The sequence below is a fragment of the Homo sapiens genome, chromosome 8 (assembly GCF_000001405.40).
Source record: "Homo sapiens chromosome 8, GRCh38.p14 Primary Assembly".
Lineage (NCBI taxonomy): Eukaryota > Metazoa > Chordata > Mammalia > Primates > Hominidae > Homo > Homo sapiens.
In genome coordinates this window covers 142,590,428-142,602,365 of record NC_000008.11, presented here as the reverse complement: position 1 = coordinate 142,602,365, position 11,938 = coordinate 142,590,428, and the positions used below count along the sequence as shown (strand labels likewise).

Here is an 11,938-nt window from a genome sequence, read left to right as displayed (position 1 = left end):
CGGCCAGTTACAGGGGTCCATCTGGCTGCTGTCCTTTCTCTGAGCCACCACCTGGTACACAGCCTTGACCTGGGGCCAGTTATAGGGTGCTGCGGGATGCTCCACGGGCAGCGTCTTGCTCCAAGGCTGCCCTCAGAGACAGCAGTTACTCAGCCCAGGTTGTCCACCAGGGGTGGGGAAGCCCTGCGGATGGTTCCCAGCTATTCCTCCAGCTTGAAGGGAGGGCAAGGTGGCCCTCAAGGCGATCTCTGGCACCACCTTGCCTGCCTCTGGATGGCCCCCTGGAACCCATGAAGCTGCTCCACCCCTCTTCCGGGAATGGCCATTGTCCGTGAGCTCCTGTTCACCCTCTGAAGCCTTGCCCTTATCTCTCCTCCCTGCACCCCACCCCTGGTGTCACTGCTGTGCCTTGGGCATCCCTGACTCTTCCCATCTGTCTTGACGCTGCCTGACGCTCCCTGAGGACAGAGGCCCTGTGTCGGCCCCACACCTGTCCCTCCCTGGCAGCGTCCCTCTCGTGCACAGCTGTTGAGGGGTGCCGCAGCAGGCTGCCCCTCCCTGGGGGCCCAGGTCCCGGGCTCCTGCTAGTTCGTCTGGTGTCTTCCCTGCCAAGAGTCTGGGCTGTGAAGGAGGCTATTTTTAGCTTCTCTTATCCCCCATAATTATCTTGCCTGTTTTGCCGTGGTGTATGGTGCAGTCCTGCTGGAAAATGTCAGTATGTCTCTCCACACTCAGGGGACCTGGGGATGATGGGACCTACGCCCTGGGAGTGGGTGTGGTGGACGAGGGTGGTGGTCCGGGAGCCTCCTTGGTTCACATGCTCTCCCTGGACATGGGGCCCGGCCTCCTCCTCATTCCCAGATGAAGCGAGAGGCTTGTGGTCCACTCAGACCCCTCCATCTCCTGGGGCCCTGTCCATGGTAGGAAGGAAGCCTGGGCACCCCGGCCTCTCCTTGAAGCCTGGAGCCTGCAAGGAGCCCCTAAGTGGGGTTTGCCCCTTTCAGCACCTGCAGGGAAATCCGCTGCTGTCCAGGGCTTCCCTATCAAGGACAGACGGGGCGTGGGTGGCGGATTCTAAGCCGTTTCTGATGTGGAGGGAGGCACCTGTGGGAAGGGGCCCTGGGGTGAGGCAGGCTTTGCAGCCAGAGGCAGGAAGAAGGGTCTGCCTGAGGTTGCCCAGCAGCGGCAGCTGGCAGAGCAGAGGCCGGGACCTGCTCAGGATTCTGGGGCCGCCAAACCATATGCCCCCCTGAAGTCTGCCTGGGATGCTGTCTGGTACCCAGGGACTCCCCTGCTTCCCCGCTCAAGTCTGCCTGGGGAGCCGTCCGGTACCTGGGGACCCCCCTTCTTCCAGGCCTCCTTTGGCTCCCCTTGGCTTGGCCTTCAAGGTCCATCACCAACGGCCCCTCCCTCCACCGTGGCAGCCTGGAATCACTCTTCCTCCAGCACCTGAGGCCCCAAGAAGGGACCCTGACAGGCTCCCCAGCGGCTTTTCTCAGCACAGCTTCCTCTGACCAGTGTCTCCCCCTACAGCCCAATCCTCCACCCTCTGCAGGTAGAGCCTGAGCTGCTTCCTCCAGGAAGCCCCACTGATGCTTGCTCCCATCCAGGTGAGCCCCAAGGAAGTCAGCCCTGGACACGTCACTTGCTTCACAGCTGGGCGTGTATCCTCGGTCTCCCCGAGACTGCAGACACAGGAGGAGGCTGAGGCCCCACCCCGACATGCCCACACCCACCCCCAGCCACCCCAGGACAGACTCGGTCTCCTGCTGTGCCTGTCTCCTCTGTGGCAGAGCCCTTCGCCCTCCACCTGGCGAAGCTCCCTTATCTGCCCTGTGGTAGGCAGTATGCCCCTCCAAAATGTCAGCATCCTCACATTAGGCTCCCAGGCACGGGGAACTCGAGCTACTCCTCAGCGGACCTTGACATGTGGAGGTTGTCCTGGATCATCTGTGTGGCCCAGGGTGACTGCAGGATTCGTGGAGAGGGAGGTGCGTCAGAGAGGGTGTGGACGTGAAGCAGGGCAGGTGCTGCCAGGCGACCGCCGCTGGACCTGCCGCAGCTGCAAGAAGACGCTCCCCTCAAACCTCCCAGGGAAACGCAGGCTGTGGACACCTCGATTTCAGCCTAGTGAGCCCCAGGGCTGGGCTCCTGACCCACAGAACCGTGAGACGAGAAAGGCGTGCTGTCTGAGCCACTGCATTTGTGGTTGCTTGCTCGGTGGCAGCGGGGGACCAGCACAACCTCACGCTGCCTGCTCTGTGCCGGATTCCCCAGCGTCCCTGCATGGTGTAGATTCCCAGGCCCGCCTGGCTGTGGCCCTTCCCCTTCACCTGACTGTGTGGCCCCTCTGAGCCTCACCTCCTCACTGGTGGAACAGGAAGGTGAGGGTGTCTCCCCCTGGGGCTGATGTGGGGCTGACACATGGGTCAGATAAGGTCCCACGTGATCAGCTCCTCCCGTGGGACGGCCGTGGAGAGGGGCAGGTGAGTGCTAGGTGGGCAGAGCTGCCTATCTGCTCCCCTCTCTAGAGCTGAGACCCACGGGACTAGCCAGGGACTCCCTGTTGGAGTCTGGCAGCCCTGCCTAGGCCCCTTGTGTGCCGGCCTTGGGGGCTGCCTCCTTGGCCTCTGTGTCTCCCGCCCTGTGCAGTGGCTGGCGCCTGCCAGTGCTGTTTACGTGAGTGGTGATGGGGGCTGTGCCTGCTGGGGCCTCCTCAGCCTGGGCCGGGGCCATCCCTCCACAGCTCTTTCCCTGACTGCTCATTTTGTGAGGTTGTTGTTTTTTATTTGGTGTCTCTCCATTTCCATTCTTCTCCCCTCCCCCACCATCCAGGCGTTGCTATGGGAACTGGGCTGAGGTCCTTGCAGCAACCTTGATCTACGGGTTTCAGGCCTGGGCAGGGGCGCAGGTTTGTTGGCCGGGAGAGGGGGGTGCTTGGGAAGGGTCCTTGCGGTCTTGCAGTTGGAATCACAGGGTCCAGAGGAGGGAGAGCTGTCAGACACCCATCCCTGCCCTGCATCCAGCGTCCCCACTCAGGGCACAGCCCTGTCACTACCACCCTCTGCTGTCACTGCTGTGGGCCTCAGCTCCTGTTATCTTTGGCTGGGTTGCCTCCATCACGATGGCCTGGGCTGTGTCCCCGCTGCCTCCCCTTTGACCTCCCCTTTGACCTCTGCGGGAGGGAGCTGGCCACACAGCCTCCCCATGCCAGGCCTCCGCCTCCCCACAGTGAAACGGGGTGGTCGGAGCTACTGCCCATGACGTGGTCAGATTCACACGGTGACACCGGGGACTGGCTCCCCACAGATGCTGGATGCAGGTCCCTGCAGGGCCCTCGGCTTCGCCTCCTCTTACCTCAGTTTCCCCATCTCTGCAATGGCAGCACTTGGGCCATTGTCAAGTCACCAAAGCCACCTGCAGGTAAGCAAAGGGGAGAGAGGATGGGGGCAGGGGCCGAGTGGAGTTGGCACTAAGCCACAGCGGCAGCCTGGAGCAGTGCATCCTCGCACTGACAGCAGCCCCCGCCTGCCACCGGCCTCCTGTCCACCCCTACCCGGGAGCTCCATGCCCGGAGTCCCAGTGAGCCGTGTGGGTGGCGAGGAGAGTCTCTGGCTGGGCTTCCGAGGCTGCAGCACTCCTCCCTCCTCAGCCCCCACACCGCCCGTCGCCTGGCCAGGGGTGCGGAGCTTAGGAATGCGGCTAAGGGGCAGGCAGGGCAGGCTGGGGGTGGGAGGGCTCTGAGGGCCAGAGGCATGGTCTGCAGAGAGGGGCTCTAAAGAGGGTCCTCACCCCATCAGGCGGGCTCCAGAGACGTGCTTCCCTCTCAGACCCCACTCCAGCCCTGACAGGATACTGATGGCGCCCAGCCAGAGGCTGGAATGCTTCCTGCGTGGGGAAATGTTGGGTTAAATATTGGGATATATTGGGTGGATATATTGTGTTAAATAAAATATATGATTCAAATTAGTTTCACCTCTTTCTCTTCATTTTTTATCATGGCCACCTCAGGCTGGCAGCGGTGCTGTCCGAGTCTGCAGGAGGGAGGGGCAGGGATGCCAGCCAGCCGGGCTGAGCTTTCTTCCTGGGTGCAGGGCTGGGTTAGGGTCCAGGTGAACCCCAGAGGAGGAGGGCGGGGGCTGCATTTGCTGATCTTGATCTTGCTGGGGAGGGCCAAGTACAGGGTGCCCCTGGTGCACTGAGGAGCCCGGGCATCCCCAGCCAGCTTCCTCCCCTCTTGAGCAGGTGGCGGGGTGACCCAGAGGCCCTTCACTCTGGAGCAGGGTCAGCTGGGAGGCCTGTGAGGCCCGAGGCAGCCTGTGGCAGAAAGGCAGAGGAGGCGCTCTTCCATCTAGGTCACTTCGGGGAGCCAGCGGCAGCGTCGGCCACCCCCTCTTCCGGCAACTGGGCTTCCGGAGCCCAGGGCCAACTCCATGCTTATCCTATCAAAAATAGTGACTGAGCCTCGGGGCTGGCAAGGAGCTGAGTGACGAGCTGCCTCTGCGGCTGCCCCGTACCCCTGGTCTCCATTCCCCCATAGTAGGCACCCCAGCTCCCAGATCCTGCTGCAGGCCTGTCCTGAGACAGCCTGTCCTTCCCTTGGCTGTCCCGCGACAGCCAAGTCCTCCTGCCTGCAGCCTGAACCACCTCCTGGGGGTGGCTCCTCCTGCTCCGGCCATGGCTCTCTCCTGGGTCCGTCTCCCCAGCAGTCCTGGCAGGCGGCTGCCCTCCCCCCGAAGCTTGAATTAAAGATGCGGAGGCTGCTCGGCCTGAGTCCTTCCAGGAGGAAGGCAAAATCTGCATTCCTATCTATCCAGCCAAACGCCGCCTGGAGCTGATCAGTCAGGCCCAACTCTCGCCAAACCCTGGGGGCCTGCCCTGTGCCTCAGGCATCCTCTGCACGCAGGAGTCCACGCAGCCCCACACTTTGGGCCTCTGTTGGCCTGGGCACCCTGATGGACAGTCCAGAGCTGGCTGTCAGGGAAAATGGTCCTGGGGTCCTCTCCCCACGGTGGCTGGGCCCTTTTTGTTCCACTGAACCCCGCTCTTTCTCAGGGTTAGGCCAAAGGACCAGGAGGGGCTTGGCCCCAGCTGCTTGCAGCCCCCTACCCTGGAGGATGACCCTTCAGCTCAGAGAGCACCCCCCTGCACCTGAGCATGAGAGGGCAACGAGGGGCTCAGGCCCTCAGGGGCTCTCTGGGTCAGGCCTCATTAGAGGACCTTCGTTCAGGGTGTCCAGTGGTGCCTGGGTCCTGGACACCGGACACTGGCTCTGTTGGATGCTGGTGCCCAGGGGTCCATAGGGGACTTCCTGCCTCAGATGCCTCGGGGCCTGCCCAGTGACAGTGCACAGTCCCCAAGCCTGCTTCTGTCCCCAGGTGCATTGTTCAGAGCACCCCACCAGGGGCTGCCATGCCCGCCATGTCCCAGGCATCCCAGTGGCCAAGGCCGGTCTCCATGCCGGGCAGAGTTGAAGGGCCAAAGAGCTTGGGCAGACCAGAGAGGGCATTAGCGTCCTGGCCACCCACTGTCAAGGGGCCCCTGTCTTCCATTGACTGGGAGATCTCTCCTCGTCCACCGTGGTAGAAAATCCATTATCCGGTGACTGCACCTGCCCATGGAGTGCCCGTGCAAGAGCCCGGGGTGTGCGTTTGGCTATGGCCCGGTGGCAGCTCCCTTCTGCATCCCACCTGGGAATTCATTTCGGCTTTCTTCGTCCCTACATATGTGGGGTGCTTTGAGATTTCCAGTTGTAACATTTTACTGGTTCCCTCATCAGTGAGGTAACATTTTGAACACGTGTGTGTTTTATATTTGTAGGTATGAAATGTGCACGCTTGGACCAGAGACCCCAGAGTGCCTTCTCACCTTCCACCCTAGCAGCCTTCTCCCCACCTAGGCTCACAGTCCTCCTGCTGCCTCGGGCTCCCCTAGGGCAGGGGCTACCAGGCTGGGGCCCTCAGCCTGCCCTGCCCTCCCCTCTCATGGACCTGCAGCGCCTGCCTCGGCCCCATTAGCTATGCCCTCATAGCGCCCTGGTGTCGCTCCTCTGGGCACGGAGGGGCCTTGGGTACCAGAGGCGGCCCTGCTCCTTGCCCTGCCTTTGCTCTCCTTCAATGCTGGGGTCAGGGTCATCACCCCAGCACCCTGCACGCTCCCATCCCTGTCCTAGACAGCCCCCGTCCTGGAGTCCCCACCCTGGAATTTCTCCTCCATCTAGTACTCCAGTCTGCAATTCCATTTCCAGGCGCCTTGAGGTCACTTGCTTCTCTCCCAGGGTAGCCTTCGGCCATGCCTTCACCTATCTTCCACCTTTACATTCCCCAGGAGGGGTCAGGAGGGGTCCCTGCCCTTGGGAACTTGTGGGTCAGCCAGAAGAACAGGGCCAGTAATGATAACAGGAAAAACCCACAGTGCTTACTTAGGATGAGCTGAGGGGTCCTGGGTGATCACCCATTGAATGCCCCCACCCTTAAGGCCACCTTCACCCTCACGTCCCAGCTGGTGAGTGCAACCCGGTCCTGGTGCCAGCAGCCCCCATGGAAGCCCCTTGTCAGTGGCGTCTGGGTGCTGGGGTCCCTGGAGGGCCCATGCAGGCTCTGCAGAGAACCGAGGGCTGGCCAGGCGAGTCCATGGCCCGAGCACGAGCCTGGCACCCCCCGGCATTGGTGCTACCTTCTTAAGGGAGGTTGGGGATGCACAGGGCTGAGGGCACCTGCCCTGCAGTGTGTTGAGAGGAGGGCCGCTTGGCTGGCCAAGGGCGCCTGGGGTGGGGGTGCAGGAGGCCAGGGGAAGATGAGCAGGCTGCAGCCTTTGACCAGGGAGCTGAGGACCAGAGGGAGTGGGATGCAGGGGATGGGGCCCGGACCTTCAGGCAGGAGCTCCCCTCCCATCCCCAGCACTGGGGCTGGCGGGCGTGGCTAAGCAGGGTCACCTAGGTCCTTCTCCTGGAAGAGAGGTCTTTCCTGCCCTGCCCTGCTCCACTCTCCCTCCACCTTTGCCTGTGTGGGAAATGAAGGAAAGCAGAGAGGAATCTGAGACCAGAAAAGGGCAGAGGACCAGACTGCCTGTTGGTTTCCTGTGCAGGCTCTGTCCCAGCCACCCCTGCCCTGGAGCTTGTGGTCTGACCTTTGGGCTCAGACTCTGCCGTGGATACACCTGGTCTCGCCTCCACTAGACAGGCACTGGGGCCACCACTTCCCTGCCCTCACCCAACAGGGTCTGGGCCAAACCTGGTGGACAGACCCACAGGGGTGGGTGTCGATCCCAGGGCTGGTGTTGGGGAAAAGGCCAGGAAGCCACCCCCGGGAGCCTCTGAGTGGGCTCCTTTTCATCCCCACCATCTTCTCTAAGCACCTGCCCAGGAAGGGATTGACAGAAATGGACAGGGGAGGTGCATTTAACTCAGGGGCCCGCCTTCCAGGACAGGCACCTGTGCGGATGCCTCAAATCTGGGCAGTGGCGGCGGGGGGCCTGTCTTGTTTACAAATGGAGAAATGGTCATCTGCTGGATGCCAGATCCAGCTTCACAAAGACGGACTCAGGGAGAAATACACAGTCATGCCTGTCCCCTGGTGGGTGCCCGGTGGGAGCCACCTCCTCCTGGCAGGGCGGCAAGATGGGTGGGGGCTCTCCTGGGCTGGGTGCCCACTGCAGGACAGGGAGGCCAGCCTCAGAGAGGGCCTCCCAGGTGGCGGCCCGTTACACAACCGCAGGCCCCTCCACACACCTACAAAGCCCCAGGAGCCACTTGGGGGAAAGACCCAGGCTTCCACTGTAGCCCTCCACACACCATCGGTGACCCCGGGTGGACAACCAACCTTTTTTAGACCTCTGCCTCCCATCTGCCGAGATAGGATGGTGTGGTGAGGCTGTGGCCTGGGCCTGCCTTGGTGATGTCTGTGACTGAGAAGAAGGGTGAATTTACCTGCACAAAGGTGCAGGGGTAGCCAAGAGCAGAAGAAAGCTGGTGGATGGTCCTGGCTGAGGAGTCCCCCAGCCAGGGGAAGGGGCAGCAGCCTCTGGTTGAAGCCACTTGCCGGCCCAAAGCCTAGTGGGAAGCCCTGCTCTAGCCCCTCCCAGCCCACTTACCTCCTCAGAGCCAGGCCAGGCACCCCTGCCCTCCTGCCCACCCTTCAGGTGGTGAGAAGTCAGCTTGCCTCATGCCCCATTGCCCAGGGAAGAGATGTGAGAGGAAAAACTTTTCTAAAAAGTAAAAATCCTGATCCATTCAAATATGAAGTGGACGCTTGTCAAGGAGGTTCTTTAACCCATTAATTCATGAAGTAGCCAGTAGGGAATTAAAACCAGCTCATAATTTTAAAACTCACCAAAAAAAAAAAAAAAAAATCTGTAGGCCCATATGTTTTCACTGGATAATTCTACCCAATGTTTAAAGAGTGAATGCCAATTCTACACAATCTGTTCCAGGAAAAAGAAAAGGAAGGAAACGCACCCCATTTCATTTTATGATGCTAATATCACCCCAATGTCAAAACCAAAGATGGTACAAAAGAAAAGAAAGAAAATGAAAGAAAGCTGCAGACTGATAACCCTCATGAGTATAGAAGCAAAAATCCCTAACACAATGCTAGCAAATAGAATGCAATGGCAGGTAAAAGTAATCAAATGCTGTGACCAAGCGGGGCTCACTCAGGATGCAAGGCTGGCTCGATTTGAAATTCAGGCAATGAAACCCACCATATTAACAGGCTATATAATAACGTTAAAGCAATTGATGCCCCAACATTTTTTGATAAAAATTCTTAGAAAAAAATAGGAATAGAGGAGAAATTCTCAAGTTGACAAAGGGCATCTACAAACAAAAAAACAAAAACAAAAACAAACAAACAAAAAAAACTTACAGCAAACATCATGCCATTGGTGAAAGACTGGGTATTTTCCTTCGGAGATCAGAAACTCTTATTTATCATAGTAATGGAAGTTCTAGCCACTAAAATGAGGCAAGAATAATAAATCATAGGCATACAGATTGAGAAGGAAGATGTAAAACTGTCTGTGTCAGCTGGGCGCAGTGGCTTATGCCTGTAATCCCAGCACCTTTGGAGGCTGAGACAGGCGGACCACCTGAGGTCAGGGGTTCAAGACCAGCCTGGCCAACATGGTGAAACCCCGTCTCTGCTAAAAATACAAAAAAAAAAAAAAATTAATCAGGCATGGTGGCACGTGCCTGTAATCCCAGCTACTTGGGAGGCTGAAGCAGGAGAATCACTTGAACCTGAAGATGGAGGTTGCAGTGAGCCGAGATCGCACCACTGCACTCCAGCTTGGGCAACAGAGTGAGACTTCATCTCAAAAACAAACAAACAAACAAACAAACACACAAACAACCCAAAAAACTGTCTGTGTCTGCAGATGACACAATTATCTGTGCAGAAAATAATAAAGAATCTACATAAAACTCCTAGAGCTGACAGGCAGTTTCAGCAAGGTTGCTGGATACAAAAATCAACATCTACAAATAAATTGTACTGCTAAATGCTAGAAGGGAAAAACAGAAACGAAAATACAATACAAGTTATGATTGCTGAAACAAAAATGAAATGCTTGGCTGCAAAGCTAGTAAAGCATGGCCACGACGAAAGCCTTGTGGAGGAAATCCCAGAAGATGAGGTGAATGCAGACAAATACCAGATTCATGGATTGGGGGACTTAACACACCATAGAGGTCAATGCTTCCCAAAGTGATATTCAGGTTTGAAGAAATTCCTCTCAGAATCCTAGCAAGATTTTCTTTCTTTCTTTTTTTGTAGGTACAGACAAGGTGATTCTAAAATTTGTATGGAAAGGCAAAAGAACTAGAGTAGCTAAAACAATTTTGGAAAAGCGGAATAAAGTGGAAGGAACACGTCTACCCAATTTAAAGACTTATTAAATAGCTGCAGCCATGATGACTGTATGGTATTGGTGGAAGGAAGGACACAGAAATGGAATAGTATGGAAAACCCAGAAATGACTCATACTGCACAGCCCAGTCCAGTCCTGCCTGCCCAGGAAGGGGGCAAAATGGGGAGTGGCAAACACAACTACAGACCAAACCTCTCCCTCCTCTCCCCTGGGGCCCCCTTGAATCCCACTACACCGCACTGTGCGGGCAGCCCCTCCTGGGCGTCCCCACACCTGGCTGGATTCTCTGGGAAAACAGGGTGGACCAGGAGCCAGGGAGCTTTGCCAGCACAGCCTCGATGGGCCCTGGTCCTGGCAGTTGCTGACTCGGGCGGGACTGTGGTTTGTTCTTCCTGCCTTTCTTCCTTTGGATGTGCTCAGACCCACATTCCAATTCCTCCACTGGTGAACTTGGGCAATGGTTGCCCCTCTCTGAAACACACTGTCTCCTGTCTCCTTTCTACTGTCTCCTCTGTGCAAAAGGGTCACTTTAGCCCTGGGGACTCTGGGGGGCTGCCCATGCCTATCCCATCTCCACTCAAGGAAGGGCTTGGAAAGGAGTTTCCTGAAAACCTCTGTGGCTTTGGGGAGATGTTTTTCATGATCACTACCATCAAGGGGGAATCTGGGGATTTTATGTTACCCACATCTCTTGCCTCCTTCCCCTGCCTACACACATGCTATAGAGGTAGTGAGCTCCCCAGCCTTGGTGGTAACCAAGAGGCCAGATGGCCCTGGGCCACAGATGCTGTGGAAGACACTCTTATCCTGGGAATAGGGGATTGGCCAGAGGTTTGGGTAAGACCAGGCAGCTTCTCTCTAAGTGAGCTGGTCCTTTCACAGGTGCCTGGCTGATAGGCGGGTACAATCCCAGCCACAGAGAGGCAGCTAAGGGAAGAGATGAAGGAATTGTCTAGGGAGGCCGAGGGCATGCAGAGGCCACTGTGAGAGGAAATACCTCCTTTCTCCCCACCACAGCTCCCGTCATGCTCCTTCCTGCAGCTGGCACCTTGCAGCTTGTGCCAAGGCGGCCTTGGCTCCGTGTGTCAAAGAAAAAGGAAAATCATTAAATTAATAACATCTGCCTCTGAAAGAGCCTGCCAGCCGCCTTCCCAACTCCCACGCCCCTTCTTCCTCATCGCAGAGAACAGGTTTTGTCTGAGGTGACTGCGCACCTCTCCCAGAGCACCTCACAGCCTCTTGCCATGTGGCGCTTTTCTTGCTGGTGAGAAATGGGAAGCCACGGGCAGAACTTACAGGAAAGCAGTTGGTTTCAGCTGACAAAGACCCTTCACCTTCTCTGCTTCCTGGAGTGGAGATGTGATGGTTGGAGGTGAAGCACCCATCTTGGAGGCAAGAAGAAGAAGAAGAAAAAAATCTTGTTAAGACCGAAAGAGGCAGGGTCTTTGGTGGGGCATGGAGCCCCTAAAATGCCCATTCTTTCTGGTTACATGAGAAAATACCCACTTACTTAAGCCAGGACAGTCAGTTTGAGGTCAACTTTGGCTGATTGGACTTCTAATGGGAGCAGACACCATTGGTGTCCCTTGCTACACCGTCTGGGCTCCCCTCTGACTCCTGCAGCCGTGGCCGCCAGCTCCTGTGCCTGCTCATGGCTTTCCACCCAAGCTCCCTCTTCTCTCTTCCTTGCTTCAGGGTCACCTCCAAAGAATGGGGCCGGACCAGCAGGTACAGGTGTGCAGTGCAGAGGAATGAGTGTCCCTAGAGGTCCCTCAGCTCATGGGGGGCAGAAGTGAGCAGGTAAATAGATCAGCATCCTTGTCTCCAAGGCAACACATCCCTCTGAGGGCCCCAGCTGCCCCCAGAAGTGACCAGCTCAACAAGGGACCCTGTCTGGCTCTTTGTCCTTACCTGATTGGGAACCAGCTGAAGGATTCCACGTCTTCTGGCCAAACAGACATCCTGGAAGGGTGGCGATGGAAACCCAGGCCTAGCCCCCAACCCCTGCCCAGAACCAGGAACCATGGGCGACATGGCGTAACTGGGGCAATGGGCATGGGGAGGGAGATGG

The 11,938-nt window shown here is 57.6% G+C and overlaps 1 annotated feature.

Annotated features, from left to right (window-relative positions):
* Nucleotides 4,851-5,353: an enhancer, noted in NCBI's record as "H3K27ac-H3K4me1 hESC enhancer chr8:143678374-143678876 (GRCh37/hg19 assembly coordinates)". NCBI's record gives its function as "activates a minimal SCP1, AML or CMV promoter by ChIP-STARR-seq in primed H9 embryonic stem cells {active_cell/tissue: H9 hESC(primed)}" and the evidence as "EXISTENCE:reporter gene assay evidence [ECO:0000049][PMID:30033119]".